Raw genomic sequence first — 17,026 nt, 5'->3', positions numbered from 1 at the left:
TTGTTGCCTTTAATTTCACAACTGTCACGTAATTGTATTCAATATAGTATATTTAATATATACAGAATTTAAAGTGTAGTTGCCAGCCCCAATTTATATGTGATTGCTCACATATGTTAAAGTAAGTCAAAATAAGTCAAAACAAAAACTATTCTAACCTCATTTATTAAAGCAAGAGACAAAGCTGTTTAATGATTATTTGGCTTGTACATGATTCAGTTTTATTTAAATACTGGTGGTTAAACTTTTATCTATGAAACTCTGAAAACATTCTCATTCAGTTTTCCTGGAGACTGCAGCATACCAATTTTGATTTATTTATTTATTTATTTATTTATTTATTTATTTTTATTTTTTTAAGGAAAACAGTTTCGTACCTTCAACGGTGTATTTATAGCCAGGTCACTGGAATATACCCTCTCATATCTGATTGTATAAGCAATACTTAAAATAGTACCATGCTTATCATCATTCCACCCAATGTAACTCCATATTCTGTCATTGTTACCCCCACTTTCCTAGATACTCAGTTTTAAGACCTTAGAATCATTCATGACTCTTACACTTCTACTCCAATATCTAGTTAATCTCTAGGTCTTAATTTCAGTGTTTTCAGTGTCTCCCTCTCCCCCTTTCCTTCCTGTTCTCCATAGCTACCACTTTAGTCATGGGACTCATTACTCCTAGACCACTCCAACAGTCTAATTGGTCGCTTTTCCTCCAGTCCTTCCCCGCTTCACTGTGTCTTGCATACTACTTAACTGTTCAGCCCCACATTTAAGATCCTCTGAAATCTGACCGTTACCCAGCTCCCAACTTCATCTGCAGTTGTCCAAGAGAACCAGTCAAAATGGAGTTTTTTAACTGTTCCCTGTATGCACTGTCTGTATTGTCAGCTTCTGAGTGACATGAATTTGCTCCACCACTTTTCCTCCTAACCTGAACCCAAACCTACCTTCTCTTAAGCCTTCCTATTTGCCCCAGCTGCATTAATTGACTGCACTCCCCTTCATCAGGTGCTAGCCATGCATGTTTCACTGTATTATCATTTACGTATTGTTTACCTGCTTGCACTAGGAGAATATAAACCCAAGATGGACAAACATTACATCTTAAATCTCTCTGTGTCCCCCACTGCCATGGTAGAAAATAATAGACTAATAGTTGAGAAGATGGACTTTGAAGTGACACAAACCTAGGTGAATTCTGGTTCTGCCACTTCCTGGCTATATGACCTTGAATAAGTTATTAAATTTCTGTTAGCCACTATGCAAAGTGGACATGATTATAACCCTATCAAAGGATTTTTGAAAGGATTAAATAAGACATATGTATGTAATGTGCTTATTACAATACCTGATATGTAATAAATAAAGGATGGCAGTTACTATAATTATAATTATGATCATCCTAACTGCTCAATGTTTGTCGGTCACAGCATGATGCACTTCCAAGAAAATTGTATAATTTATCCCTTCTCATCAGTCAGGTGACTACTACATATATCATATGATAATAGTGTTAGGGGTTTTTCTTCTAGGCTAAATGCAACTTGAATATGGGGTGTGTAATTTTTTTATTGTTTAGTGATAAAAAATTATTCCTGGTTTATTCCAGGAAATTGCTTTGCTTATAGTCTAACCTATTGCAAAAAAAAAAAAGCAAACTTTGTGAAAACAAAACTTAAAAAAAATTACCTTTCTTGTATACAGTTGTCGCTTCTATTCCAAGAAAGACATTTTTGTGCAGCAGAAAATAGTATCTTCTCATATAGGGAGAGTCGATTCTGAAACTAAAAATACTTATAGAAAGTACCAGAACTTAGAAAGGTGACCTTTTCACATGCTGTATCAAGTACTCTATCACTTAAATGCAAATGAATCCTTTTACAGAAATTAAAGTAGCTAATAAGAAAAATAAATCTAAAGTTACTTTAAAAATTGCAGGCTAAGTACAAAACATTTTAAAACTTTCATCTCTTTGACAGCAAAGTGTTAGAATACAAGTGTTGTAAGAGGAGCATTTAAAAACTACTGAAGAATGTTCTGTTCATAAATTAACAAAAAGGCAAATAAATTTAGCCTTAGAGTAAAAACCGGCATACCAGCACCCAAATAGTCATACACCAGGGTGTTCTGAGGACATTACTTTAGCAGCCGTTTCCCAGAGGTAGCTGGGGCTTGCAGCACAACCAGATTTAAACAGAAGAATCTTAGGAGTTCCAGGGTTGTACCAGCGCCATCAGTAGGAACATCTTACACAAAATGTATTCATTCCATGTGGAATTAGTCTGTATCATATGTCTTCAGCTAATCTAGAATGAAAGATGTGGTTCCTTGTCACCTTTTTTCTGCCTTCTTCAATGATAAAGCATATTTTACAGTCTATTTTTTTTTAATAGGGATCACATGCAGTGGTCTAAGGAAGAAGAAGCAGCAGCCAGAAAAAAAGTAAAAGAAAACTCAGCTGTGCGAGTCCTTCTGGAAGAGCAAGGTAGTCAACTGCGTGCTGTAGCTCCTAGAGCCAGAGCTTTAGTGACTTTTCCTCCTCCTCGTGTCATTGCTTCTGAGAGTTCTTAGCCTCTCCTGATGCCAGTCCACTTGTTCCATTTGGTAGAATTCCCAGTTCTTCCAGTGTAGTGGGACCAAAGTTAATGAAATTTGTATTCACCCTATAATTGGGTCTTTGAGTAGTCATATTATTGCTTTTTCTGGGAGATACACACATGGGTGGCATTTCAAACAAAATATGAAAACATAATTTTAAACTTTTCCACTTGCTATGCTGCTATTACTTTGCTATTATGCATTTCACTTCCTAGGAACTTTGAACAAATTTATAAACTTTGAGCAAAGAAGATAAAGTCACATCAAAATGGTGCTGAAGTTTTAGGATAAATATAGTTTCAGTAAGGATTGAAGGCAGTTTTCTTGAAGGCCTTTATATTTAATTTAAGAAAAGCCTTGCCAACCTTCATAAATGGCTTTTAAAAAATTGGCCTATGCTACTATCAAAAAAACTCAGGAGCCGGCGCGGTGGCTCACACCTATAATCCCAGCACTTTGGGTGGCCGAGGTGGGCAGATCACAAGGTCAAGAGATCGAGAAAACCTGTCTCTACTAAAAATAACAAAAATTAGCTGGTCGTGGTGGCACATGCCTGTAGTCTCAGCTACTCAGGAGGCTGAGGCAGGAGAATCGCTTGAACTCAGGAGGCAGAGGTTGCAGTGAGCCGAGATCACACCACTGTACTCCAGCCTGGCGACAGAGCGAGACTCCGTCTAAAAAAAAAAAAACCGGAAATGTTGATTCCATGTTATGGCTACTATGAATAGAGCTGCAGTAGACATGGGAGTGCAGTTATCTCTTTGATATATTGATGTCCTTTCTTTTGGATAAATACCCAGTAGTGGCATTGGTGGATGATATGGTAGTTCTATTTTTACTTCTTTGAGGAAACTCCACACTGTTTTCCATAGTGGTCATACTAATTTACATTCCCACCAACAGTGTATGAAGGTTCTCCTTTTTTCACATCCTCACCAGCATCCATTCATTATTCCCTGTCTTTTTGATATACGCTATGTTAGGTGAGGTGAGATGATATCTCATTGTGGTTTTGATTTGCATTTCTCTGATGATTAGTGATATTGAGCATTTTTTCGTATAGCTGTTGGCCATTTGTATGCCTTCTTTTGAGAAATATCTATTCAGATCTTTTGCCATTTTTTTTTTTTTTTTTGAGACAGGGTCTTGTTGCCCAGTCTGGAGTATAGTGATGAGATCATGGCTCACTGCAGCTTAATCTGACTGGGTTCAGGTGAGCCTCCCACCTCAGCCCAGGGTGGTCTGAAACTCCTCATCCTCCCAAAGTGCTGGTATTACAGGAGTGAGCCACTGCCCCAACCTTGCCCATTTTTTAATCTGATTTTCTTTTTCTTCCTATTGAGTTGTTTGAGCTCCTTAATATATTCCCATTATTAATCCCTTGTCAAATGGGTAGTTTGCAAATATATTCTTCCATTCTGTGGGTTGTCTCTTCACTTTGTTGATTGTTTCTTTGCTGTACAGGTGCTTGTTAGCATGATATAATCCCATTTTCTATTTTCGCTTTGGTTGCTTGTGCTTTTGAAATCTTTTGACAAATGACAAAATAGACAAATAAAAATGCTCCAATGTCCTGGAGCATTTCCCCCAATGTTTTCTTCTAGTAATTTCATAGTTTCAGGTCATAGATTTAAGTCTTTAGTCCATTTTGATTTGATTTTTATATATAGTAAATAAGAATCTAGTTTCATTCTTCTGCTTACAGTTTTCCAGTTATCCCAGCACCATTTATTGAAGAGACTGTCCTTTCCCCATCATATGTACTTGACACCTTTGTCAAAAATGAGTTGGTTGTAAATGCATGGATTTATATTTGGGTTCTCTATTCTCTTCCATCAGTCAATGTGTCTGTTTTTATGCCAGTACCATGCCAATTTGGTTGCTGTAGCTTTGTAGTATGTTTTGAAGTCAGGTAGTATGATGCCTCCAACTTTGTTCTTTTTTTTTTTTTTTTTCTGGAGACGGAGTTTTGCTCTGTTGCCCAGGCTGGAGTGCAATGGCAGGATCTCAGCTCACTGCAACCTCTGCCTCCCAGGCTCAAGCAATTCTCCTGTCTCAGCCTCCTGATTAGCTGGGATTACAGGTGCCCACCACCACACCCAGCTAATGTTTGTATTTTTAGTAGAGATAGCGTTTTGTCATGTTGGCCAAGCTGGTCTTGAACTCTTGACCTCAGATGATCCGCCCACCTCTGCCTCCCAAAGTGCTGGGATTACAGGTGTGAGCCACCACACCTGGCCTCAGCTTTGTTCATTTTCCTCAGGATTGCTTTGGCTATTCTGGATCTTTTGGGGTTCTATAAAAACTTTAGGGGCCAGGCACAAGTGGCTCACACTTGTAATCCCAGCATTTTGGGAAACCTAGGCTGGAGGATTGCTTGAGCCCAGGAGTTCAAGACCAACTTGGGCAATATGGCTAAAACCTGTCTCTACAAAAAATACAAAAATTAATCAAGTGTTGTGGTCATGCACCTGTAGTCCCAGCTACTCAGGGGGCTGCAGCTAGAGGATCATTTGAACCCGGGAGTTTGAGGCTGCAGTAAGCTGTAATTGTGCCACTGCACTCCAGACTGGGTGACAGAGCGAGAACCTGTCTCAAAAAAAAAAAAGAGAGAGAAAAATTTCAGGATTTTGTGCTCTATTTCTGTGAAGAATGTCATAGGTATTTTGACTGGGATTCCATTGAATCTATAAATTGCTTTGGGTAGAATTGTCATTTTAACAATATTAATTATTTGGACTCATCAGCATGGAATATCTTCCCATTTTTTAATGTCCTTTTTAATTTCTTTTAAGAATATTTTATAGTTTTCCTGTATAGATTTTTCACATCTCTGATTTAATTGATTTCTAGGTATCTTATATTCTTTGTAGCTATTGGAAATGGGATTGCTTTCTTGATTTCTTTTTCAGATTGTTCACTGTTGGCATATTTAAATGCTACTGATTTTTGTGTGTTTATTTTGTATCCTGCAATTTTACTAAATGTATCAGTTCTAACAGTTTTTTGGTGGAGTCTTTAGGTTTTTCTAAGTGTAAGATCATATTGTTGGCTGGGCACAGGGGCTTACGCCTGTAATCCCAGAACTTTGGGGGGCCAGGGTGGGCAGATCACTTGAGGCCAGGTGTTCGAGACCAGCCTGGCCAACATGGTGAAACCCTATCTCTACTAAAAATACAAAAAATTAGCTGGGAATTGTGGTGCATCCCTGTAGTCCCAGCTACTCAGGAGGCTGAGGTGGGAGAATCACTTGAACCCAGGACACAGAGGTTGCAGTGAGCCAAGATCACTTTTGCACCACTGCACTGCAGCCTGGGTGACAGAGTAAGACCCTGTCTCAAAAAAAAAAAAAAAAATATTGTCTTTGAACAAGGCTAATTTGACTTCTTCCTTTCCAACTTAGCTGCCCTTTATTTCTTTCTCTTGCCTAATGTCTCTGGCCAGGACTTCCAGTATTATGTAAAATTAAAGTGGCAAAAGTGGGCATCCTTGCCTGTTCCAGATGGATGAATGGATAAAGAAAATGTGGTATATATACACAATGGAATATTATTCTGCCATAAAAAAAGAATGAAATCTTATCATTTGCAGCAACATGGAGGAAATGGAGGTCCTTAAGTTAAATAAGTCAAGCACAGAAAGACAAATACTGCATGTTCTCATCCATATGTGGGAGCTAAAACAGTGGATTTTATGAAAATAGAGAATAGATTGGTAATTACCAGGGGCCAGGAAGGGGTGGGGGGTGAAGAGAGATTGATTAATGGGTACAAATATACAGTTAGAAGGGTTAAGACCTCATGTTCAATATAGATCAGTAGGGTGACTAGTTCACAATAATCTACTGAACATTTCAAAATAGCTAGAAGAGGCCGGACAAGATGGCTCAAGCCTATAATCCCAGCACTTTGGGAGCCCAAGGTGGGTGGATCACCTGAGGTCAGGAGTTCAAGACCAGCCTGGCCAACATGGTGAAACCCTATCTCTACCAAAAATATAAAATTAGCCGGGTCTGGTGGCACACACCTGTAGTCCTAGCTATTCGGGAGCTGAGGCAGGAGAATAGCTTGAACCCAGGAAGCAGAGGTTGCAGTGAGTCAAGATCATGCCATTGCACTTCAGCCTGGGTGACCATCTCAAAAAAAAATAGCTGGAAGAGAATAAATGTTTCTAGCATGAAGAAAAGACAAAAAGGTGTGGTTCCAAGATGGCCAAATAGGAACAGCTCCAGTCTACAGCTCCCAGCATGAGCGATGCAGAAGACGGGTGATTTCTGCATTTCCAACTGAGGTACTGGGTTCATCTCACTGGGGCTTGTCGGACAGTGGGTGCAGGACAGTGGATGCAGCCCACGGAGCATGAGCCAAAGCAGGGCAAGGCATCACCTCACCCGGGAAGCGCAAGGGTTCCGGGAATTCCCTTTCCTAGCCAAAGGAAGTGGTGACAGACGGCACCTGGAAAATCAGGTCACTCCCTCCCTAATACTGCGCTTTTCCAACGGTCTTAGCAAACGGCGCACCAGGAGATTATATCAAATGCCTGGCTTGGAGGGTCCCACGCCCACGGAGCCTCGCTCATTGCTAGCACAGCAGTCTGAGATCGAACTGCAAGGTGGCAGCGAGGCTGGGGGAGGGGCGCCTGCCATTGCTGAGGCTTGAGTAGGTAAACAAAGCGGCCGGGAAGCTCGAACTGGGTGTAGCCCACCACAGCTCAAGGAGGCCTGCCTGCCTCTGTAGACTCCACCTCTGGGGGCAGGGCATAGCTGAACAAAAGGAAGCAGAAGCTTCTGCAGACTTAATCGTCGCTGTCTGACAGCTTTGAAGAGAGTAGTGGTTCTCCCAGCACAGAGTTTGAGATCTGAGAGGGACAGACTGCCTCCTCAAGTGAGTCCCTGACCCCCAAGTAGCCTAACTGGGAGGCACCTCCCAGTAGGGGCTGACTGACACCTCATACGGACAGGTACCCCTCTGAGACGAAGCTTCCAGAGGAACGATCAGACAGCAGCATTTGCCGTTCTGCAATATTTGCTGTTCTGCAGCCTCCACTGGTGATACCTAGGTTAACAGGGTCCGGAGTGGACCTCCAGCAAATTCCAACAGACCTGCAGCTGAGGGTCCTGACTGTTAGAAGGAAAACTAACAAACAGAAAGGACATCCACACCAAAACCCCATCTGTACGTCACCATGATCGAAGACCAAAGGTAGATAAAACCACAAAGATGGGAAGAAACCAGAGCAGAAAAGCTGAAAATCCTAAAAATCAGAGCGCCTCTTCTCCTCCAAAGGAACGCGGTTCCTCGCCAGCAATGGAACAAAGCTGGATGGAGAAAGACTTTGACAAGTTGAGAGAAGAAGGCTTCAGACGATCGGTAATAACAAACTTCTCTGAGCTAAAGGAGGATGTTCGAGCCCATTGCAAAGAAACTAAAAACCTTGAAAAAAAAATTAGACAAATGGCTAACTAGAATAAACAGCGTAGAGAAGTCCTTAAAAGACCTGATGGAGCTGAAAACCATGGCACGAGAACTATGTGACGCATGTACAAGCTTCAGTAGCCGATTTGATCAAGTGGAAGAAAGGGTATCAGTGATTGAAGATCAAATGAATGAAATGAAGCGAAAAGAGAAGTTTAGAGAAAAAAGAGTAAAAAGAAACGAACAAAGCCTCCAAGTAATATGGGACTATGTGAAAAGACCAAATCTACGTCTGATTGGTGTACCTGAAAGTGACAGGGAGAATGGAACCAAGTTGGAAAACACTCTTCAGGATATTATCCAGGAGAACTTCCCCAACCTAGCAAGGCAGGCCAACATTCAAATTCAGGAAATACAGAGAACGCCACAAAGATACTCCTCGAGAAGAGCAACTCCAAGACACATAATTGTCAGATTCACCAAGGTTGAAATGAAAGAAAAAATGTTAAGGGCAGCCAGAGAGAAAGGTCAGGTTACCTACAAAGGGTAACCCATCAGACTAACAGCGGATCTCTCGGCAGAAACTCTACAAGTCAGAAGAGAGTGGGGGCCGATATTCAACATTCTTAAAGAAAAGAACTTTCAACTCAGAATTTCATATCCAGCCAAACTAAGCTTCATAAGTGAAGGAGAAATAAAATCCTTTACAGACAAGCAAATGCTGAGAGATTTTGTCACCACCAGGCCTGCCCTACAAGAGCTCCTGAAGGAAGCACTAAACATGGAAAGGAACAACCGGTACCAGCCATTGAAAAACATGCCAAATTGTAAAGACCATCGATGCTAGGAAGAAACTGCATCAACTAACGGGCAAAATAACCAGCTAACATCATAATGACAGGATCAAATTCACACATAACAATATTAACCTTAAATGTAAATGGGCTAAATGCTCCAATTAAAAGACACAGACTGGCAAATTGGATACAGAGTCAAGACCCATCAGTGTGCTGTATTCAGGAGACCCATCTCATGTGCAGAGACACACATAGGCTCAAAATAAAGGGATGGAGGAAGATCTACCAAGCAAATGGAAAACAAAAAAAAGCAGGGGTTGCAATCCTAGTCTCTGATAAAACAGACTTTAAACCAACAAAGATCAGAAGAGACAAAGGCCATTACATGATGGTAAAGGGATCAATTCAACAAGAAGAGCTAACTATCCTGAATATATATGCACCCAATACAGGAGCACCCAAATTCATAAAGCAAGTCCTTAGAGACCTACAAAGAGACTCCCACACAGTAATAATGGAAGACTTTAACACCCCACTGTCAACATTAGACAGATCAATGAGACAGAAAGTTAACAACGATATCCAGAAATTGAACTCAGCTCTGCAGCAAGTGGACCTAATAGACATCTACAGAACTCTCCACCCCAGATCAACAGAACATACATTCTTCTCAGCACCACATCACACTTATTCCAAAATTGACCACATAGTTAGAAGTAAAGCACTCCTCGGCAAATGTAAAAGAACAGAAATTATAACAAACAGTCGCTCAGACCACAGTGCAATCAAACTAGAACTCAGGATTAAGAAACTCACCCAAACCACCCAACTACACGGAAACTGCACAAGCTGCTCCTGAGTGACTACTGGGTACATAATGAAATGAAGGCAGAAATAAAGATGTTCTTTGAAACCAATGAGAACAAAGATACAACATACCAGAATCTCTGGGACACATTTAAAGCAGTGTGTAGAGGGAAATTTATAGCACTAAAGGCCCACAAGAGAAAGCAGGAAAGATCTAAAATTGACACCCTAACATCACAATTAAAAGAACTAGAGAAGCAAGAGCAAACACATTCAAAAGCTAGCAGAAGGCAAGAAATAACTAAGATCAGAGCAGAACTGAAGGAGATAGAGACACAAAAAACCCTTCAAAAAATCAATGAATCCAGGAGCTGGTTTTTTGAAAAGATCAACAAAATTGATAGACCGCTAGCAAGACTAATAAAGAAGAAAAGAGAGAAGAATCAAACAGATGCAATAAAAAATGATAAAGGGGATATCACCACTGATCCCACAGAAATACAAACTACCATCAGAGTATACTGTAAACACCTCTATGCAAATAAACTAGAAAATCTAGAAGAAATGGATAAATTCCTGGACACTTATACCCTCTCAAGACTAAACCAGGAAGAAGTTGAATCCCTGAATAGACCAATAACAGGTTCTGAAATTGAGGCAATAATTAAGAGCCTACCAACCAAAAAAAGTCCAGGACCAGATGGATTCACAGCCGAATTCTACCAGAGGTACAAGGAGGAGCTGGTACCATTCCTTCTGAAACTATTCCAATCAATAGAAAAAGAGGGAATCCTCCCTAACTCATTTTATGAGGCCAGCATCATCCTGATACCAAAGCCTGGCAGAGACACAACAAAAAAAGAGAATTTTAGACCAATATCCCTGATCCCTGATGAACATTGATGTGAAAATCCTAAATAAAATACTGGCAAACTGAATCCAGGAGCACATCAAAAAGCTTATCCACCATGACCAAATGGGCTTCATCCCTGGGATGCAAGGCTGGTTCAACATACACAAATCCATAAACGTAATCCAACATATTAACAGAAGGAAAGATAAAAACCACATGATTATCTCAATGGATGCAGAAAAGGCCTTCAACAAAATTCAACAGCCCTTCTTGCTAAAACAACTCTCAATAAATTAGGTATTGATGGGACATATCTCAAAATAATAAGAGCTATTTATGACAAACTCACAGTCAATATCATACGTACGGGCAGAAACTGGAAGCATTCCCTTTGAAAACTGGCACAAAACAGGGATGTCCTCTCTCACCACTCTTACTCAACATAGTGTTGGAAGTTCTGGCCAGGGCAATCAGGCAAGAGAAAGAAAGGGAATTCAATTAGGAAAAGAGAAAGTCAAATTTTCCCTATTTGCAGATGACATGATTGTATATTTAGAAAACCCCATTGTCTCAGCCCAAAATCTCCTTAAGCTGATAAGCAACATCAGCAAAGTCTCAGGATACAAAATCAATGTGCAAAAATCACAAGCATTCCTATACACCAATAACAGACAAACAGAGAGCCAAATCATGAGTGAACTCCCATTCACAATTGCTTCAAAGAGAATAAAATACCTAGGAATCCAAATTACAAGGGATGTGAAGGACCTCTTCAAGGAGAACTACCAACCACTGCTCAACAAAATAAAAGAGGACACAAACAAATGGAAGAACATTCCATGCTCATGGATAGGAAGAATCAATAGCATGAAAATGGCCATACTGCCCAAGGTAATTTATAGATTCAATGCCATCCCCATCAAGCTGCCAATGACTTTCTTCACAGAATTGGAAAAAACTACTTGAAAGTTCATATGGAAACAAAAAAGAGCCCACATTGCCAAGTCAATCCTAAGCAAAAAGAGCAAACCTGGAGGCATCACGCTACCTGACTTCAAACTATACTACAAGCCTACAGTAACCAAAACAGCATGGTACTGGTACCAAAACAGAGATATAGACCAATGGAACAGAACAGAGCCCTCAGAAATAATACCACACATCTATAACCATCTGATCTTTGACAAACCTGACAAAAACAAGAAATGGGGAAAGGATTCCCTATTTAATAAATGGTGCTGGGAAAACTGGCTAGCCATATTAGAAAGCTGGAACTGGATCCCTTCCTTATACCTTATACAAAAATTAATTCAAGATGGATTAAAGACTTAAATGTTAGTCCTAAAACCATAAAAACCCTAGAAGAAAACCTAGGCAATACCATTCAGGACATAGGCATGGGCAAGGACTTCATGTCTAAAACACCAAAAGCAATGACAACAAAAGCCAAAGTTGACAAATGTGATCTAATTAAACTAAAGAGCTTCTGCACAGCAAAAGAAACTACCATCAGAGTGAACAGGCAACCTACAGAATGGGAGAAAATTTTTGCAATCTACCCATCTGACAAAGGGCTAATATCCAGAATCTGTGAAGAACTTAAACAAATTTACAAGAAAAAATCAAACAACCCCATCAAAAAGTGGGCAAAGGATATGAATAGACACTTCTCAAAAGAAGACATTTATGTAGCCAACAGACATATGAAAAAATGCTCATCATCACTGGCCGTCAGGGAAATGCAAATCAAAACCACAATGAGATACCATCTCACACCAGTTAGAATGGCAATCATTAAAAAGTCAGGAAACAGCAGGTGCTGGAGAGGATGTGGAGAAATAGGAACACTTTTAAACTGTCGGTGGGACTGTAAACTAGTTCAACCATTGTGGAAGATAGTGTGGCGATTCCTCAAGGATCTAGAACTAGAAATATCATTTGACCCAGTCATCCCATTACTGGGTATATACCCAAAGGATTATAAATCATGCTGCTATAAAGACACATGCACACGTATGTTTATTGTGGCACTATTCACAGTAGCAAAGACTTAGAACCAACCCAAATGTCCATCAGTGATAGACTGGATGAAGAAAATGTGGCACATATACACCGTGGAATACTATGCAGCTATAAAAAAGGATGAGTTCATGTCCTTTGTAGGGACGTGGATGAAGCTGGAAACCATCATTCTGAGCAAACTGTCGCGAGGACAGAAAAGCAAACACCACATATTCTCACTCATAGGTGGGAATTGAACAATGGGAACACTTGGACACAGGATGGGGAACATCACACACTGGGGCCTATTGTGGGGTGGCGGGAGTGGGGAGGGATAGCATTAGGAGATATACCTAATGTAAATGACGAGTTAATGGGTGCAGCACACCAACATGGCACAAGTATACATGTGTAACAAACTTGCATGTTGTGCACATGTACCTTAGAACTTAAAGTATAACAATAATAAAAGAAAAGACAAATATTTAGGTTGATGGATATACCAGTTACACTGATTAGAAGGTATTAAATTATCACATGTACTCTGAAAATATTTATATCTATTATATATCAATAAAAATAAATAAATGTTTTATAAACCTGACAATGACAGGCATTGACAAGGCTTTGGAGAAATTGGAGCCCTTGTGTATTGTTGGTAAGATTGTAAAATGGTGTGGCTACTATGGAAAACAGTATGGAAGTTCCTAAAAAAATAAAAAATAGAACTGCCATATGACCCAGCAATCCCACCTCTGGGTTATATGCAAAAGATTTGAAAGCAAAGTCTCAAAGAGACATTTGCACACCTATGTTCATAGCAGCACTATTCACAATAGGCAAAAGGTGGAAGTACCCTAAAATGCCCATCATCAGATGAATGGTTAAAACAAATGTGGTATATACATAAAATGGAATCGTGTTCTGGCTTAAAAAGGAAAGAAATCCTGTCACATACTACAACATGGATGGACCTTGAGGACGTGATGCTAAGTGAAATAAGCCACCACAAAAAGACAGATACTGTATGATTCCACTTATTTGAGACATCTAAAGTAGTCAGATTCATAGAACGAAAAATGGTGGTTGCCAAGGGCTCGGGAAATGGGGGAAATATTAAGAAAATTTAGGACAATTGCCTCTTAATCCTACTGTTCTAACATAATTGTTTTTAGCTCATCATTTAGAACTTTTACCCAATGTGTATATAATTTTAAGCAGTTGTAATTATAATACATATATAATTTGGGGATCTACTTTTTTAACCTCATGTTATTTCATAAAAGGGGGAGTTGTCATTTAATTGGTATGTAGTTAATAGTTTAGCAAGATAAAAACATCCTGGAGGTCTGTTTCACAACAATATGAATATACTCAACAGTACTGAACTATACATTTTAAAATAGTTAAGATGTTAAATTTTACATTATGTGGTTTGTAATCACAATTTTTTTAAAAAGCACACTACAAACAAAAGAACTTGGCCTGCATCATCCTCATTGCACAGCTGGGAACCCACAGACACTTTACCCAACTCTTATATTCTCTCTATAGGACTTTCTGCCTTATTTTTCTTAAAATGATTTCTCCCTTAGAACATGTTGGTTCTTTTTTTTTCTTTTTAAAAATAGTTTATAAAATAGACACAGAAATTTATACAACTCATCAATGAATTCTCGCATAGTTCAATGAATTTTCACGAAGTTAACACACCTATGTAAACATCAACCATATCAAGAAACAGAATATTACTATTAATCCAGAAGCTTCCATGTGCTTCTTCCCAATTACAGTACTCCCCCTGATCCCTGACCCCACTAATCCCACAAATAGTGGCCCATAAGAGCCACTATTCTGGCTTCTAATACAATAGATTAGTTTTGCCAGAACAACTTGGTTCTGGTTATCATTTTTTGGTCACTCTTGTGGCAACATCAGTGTAACCGTTAGATGAAGCAAGGGTCAGCAAACTAGTCTATGGTCGAAATCCAGCCTGCTGCCTGTTTTTGTGAATAAAGTTTATTGGAACACAGACACACTCATTTGTTGACATACTGTCTATGGTCACTTTTGAGCTATAGTCACAGTGTTGAGTAGTTGCAACAAAGACTGCTGCAGCTGGCCCACAGAGACTAAAATACTATCTGGCCCATTACAGAAAAAGGTTTCCAACCCCTGAGATTGAATTTTGTTTCTAGATTGATCAGCTGTCCTGGAACTCCCCAGGGAAAGATGTTAGCATTCCTCTGTGTAAACCAAGTATAAGGAAGATCACTAATCCCACTGGTAGTTAACTATTGTTCTGGTGACTTTAGTCTACAAATTGAGGCCAAAGTTTGAAGCAACAGTAGTTGGGGAGCCTAAGCTAATGAGACTGCCCTCATTAGCTGCCCTTACCTAGTGAAGAGGGCAGTGCCTACCTATCTTATCTTCTGGTATCACTTGCTATTCCGTAGAGCCAGTTCTCCATCCTCCTCCTAAGCTCCTTATTGTATCCTGGAGAGTGGACAGAAATGAAGAGCACCTGATCCACAATGACATCATTCTATTTTTATGAGCTTCAACCACGAAGTCTTTGAGGGGAATATGGCCAGAGAGTATTAGGGTTGGATTCGAGGGTGCATACCAGTGGCAGTACTGCTTACAAATCAGCCAATATTGCATTCCTTTGCAGGAACTCTGTCACACTGTTTCTGAAGAAGTATAACTGTGCTTCTTTGCCAGCAGCTGCACAGACATATTTTCCACATTACTCAAGCTTCTGCTGGTGGCCACCTGGATGTGACAGACAGAGTCAAGCCTAAACTGAATTAAAAGTTGTCAGCCATCTTAATTCATTTCCAGGAAGTTAAAAATTATCCACAATATATTTCCTGATAATATGAAAAACCAAGGATTTTTTTGCCCTATTTTGAATATTTCCATTTAGAACATAAATAGATGAGCAGTGCTGATAGTGTTCCCTTAAAGTCGTTTGTATGTGGCTGCCTATTTTGTCCTATTTATGTTAACAATGAACTTGGTGAAGCTAATGAGAAGGTTATTTTAGGGCCTTGGAAACCGCAGTAAAGGAAAATGACAGTTCCCATAGAACCGTACGTAGTGTGACTGAAATAGAAAGGTGGTGACTGGCCTCTCTCTGTAGAAGCAGGAAAGGCAGGCAGGAGAGGGTTGATGATACCACTTTGAAGCATTTGATTTGCTTATTAGTATGTCCAGTCTCTTTCTGTGCAAGTTTTCTGACTGCTGCAGAGACACAGAACAAAAAATTCCATTTCAAAATGACTCAAAGAGATAAAGGCTTCTGCTAGGTCCCTTCTGCATCCCCTCTGTAACACTTCAGTGTGATGGGCTTTATACCTGTCAGGGGACCACTGCAGGGAGAAGGAACACATTATGGGGGTGACCATCTTATCACACGTAAGCAAGGGCACACAGAGCAATAACTGAGGCTACCCGGAGGGTGGTAAAGGAAGAATACTTTTGTTCTGAGGAACCATGTTGAGTGGCAGGACGTTACAGTGAGAGCCATCCAGCGCAATTTCTGTAGGGATCACAGACGTGCCAGTCTGCAGCACCCTGGGTGAGGCTTCAGGTTTGATATTTAATGTCTCTGATGAATATGGGTCAAGGTAAATAGATTGTTTAAAAGCTCTACTTTCAAACACTGAGACCCCAGAGGAAGCAGTGACCTGGCTCTTCGGCAAGTGCCTCTGTGAACCACCATCTTTTCTTATCTAGGAGAGTCCTAAATCTTTGAAAGAGCCAGTGTTCTCCCATCACAGAGTATTCTATATGCAGATTATTATACAGCAGGAGCACTGTTTACTGATCTTATCTCACTTTATTTTAATGCAACTGGGAGGAAGTACTGGTTGTTCTCCCATGCTGGCCAACTCTCTGGCACATTTCTTTTGGTCTCTGTGTGTCTCAGGCTCTCCTGTCACTCCCATTTCCCATTTCTCACATATTGTCTCAGCTGTTGGTGAGAACTGAAGTCAGGAAACACTCTCACAATCTGAAAGTAAGAAATTATGCATCACAAATAATAGTCTTGCTGCAGGATGGTTGACATTTCATTTTTGTGATTAAAATGTATATGGCATCTGGGACCGGATGTGGTGGCTCACACCTGTAATCCCAACACTTTGGGAGGCCAAGGTGGAAGGATCTCTTGAGCCCAGGAATTTGAGACCAGCCTGAGCAACAGTCAGACCCCATCTCTACAAAAAATTTAAAAGTTAACCAGGCGTGGTTGTGCGTGCTTGTAGTCCTAGCTACTTGGGAGGCTGAGATGGGAGGATCACTTGAGCCCAGGAGGTCAAGGCTGCACTGAGCTGTGATTGCACCACTGCACTCCAGGCTGGGCACAGAGTAAGCCCCTGTCTCAAAAAACAAAAACAAAAACAAAAAAACTATAGATCCAGGCCCTCATTTCTTTCAATAAGATTGCCCAGATTAATGATTTTTAATTCCACATTTCCTTTTTGTAATTTATTTTCAATTTTACTATAGCTCAAATTTATTTTAAAAGCAAGTTAATTCAGA

At 40.0% G+C, this 17,026-nt stretch overlaps 1 protein-coding gene across 11 annotated transcripts in view, besides 1 other annotated feature; it reads left to right on the top strand.

Moving 5' to 3' along the window:
* The window catches only part of METTL8 (methyltransferase 8, tRNA N3-cytidine), a 119,027-nt gene that overhangs the window by 71,858 nt on the left and 30,143 nt on the right, over nucleotides 1-17,026 (top strand). For all 11 annotated transcript variants that reach the window (NR_135568.2, NM_001321161.2, NM_001321158.2 and 8 more), the window contains one exon: nucleotides 2,402-2,493. Coding sequence is in view for 10 of the 11 variants with exons in the window: in NM_001321161.2 (NP_001308090.1) it covers nucleotides 2,402-2,493 (92 nt within the window). In the remaining variant the exon portion in view is untranslated. The remainder of the gene's footprint in view (nucleotides 1-2,401; nucleotides 2,494-17,026) is intronic.
* Nucleotides 15,619-15,668: an enhancer, noted in NCBI's record as "active region_16751". NCBI's record gives its function as "activates an Ori minimal core promoter by ATAC-STARR-seq in GM12878 lymphoblastoid cells {active_cell/tissue: GM12878}" and the evidence as "EXISTENCE:reporter gene assay evidence [ECO:0000049][PMID:35858748]".

This window comes from Homo sapiens, chromosome 2, assembly GCF_000001405.40.
Source record: "Homo sapiens chromosome 2, GRCh38.p14 Primary Assembly".
Taxonomy (NCBI): Eukaryota; Metazoa; Chordata; class Mammalia; order Primates; family Hominidae; genus Homo; species Homo sapiens.
The sequence above is the reverse complement of the archived record's forward strand: the minus strand, read 5'-3'. Positions and strand labels throughout refer to the sequence as shown.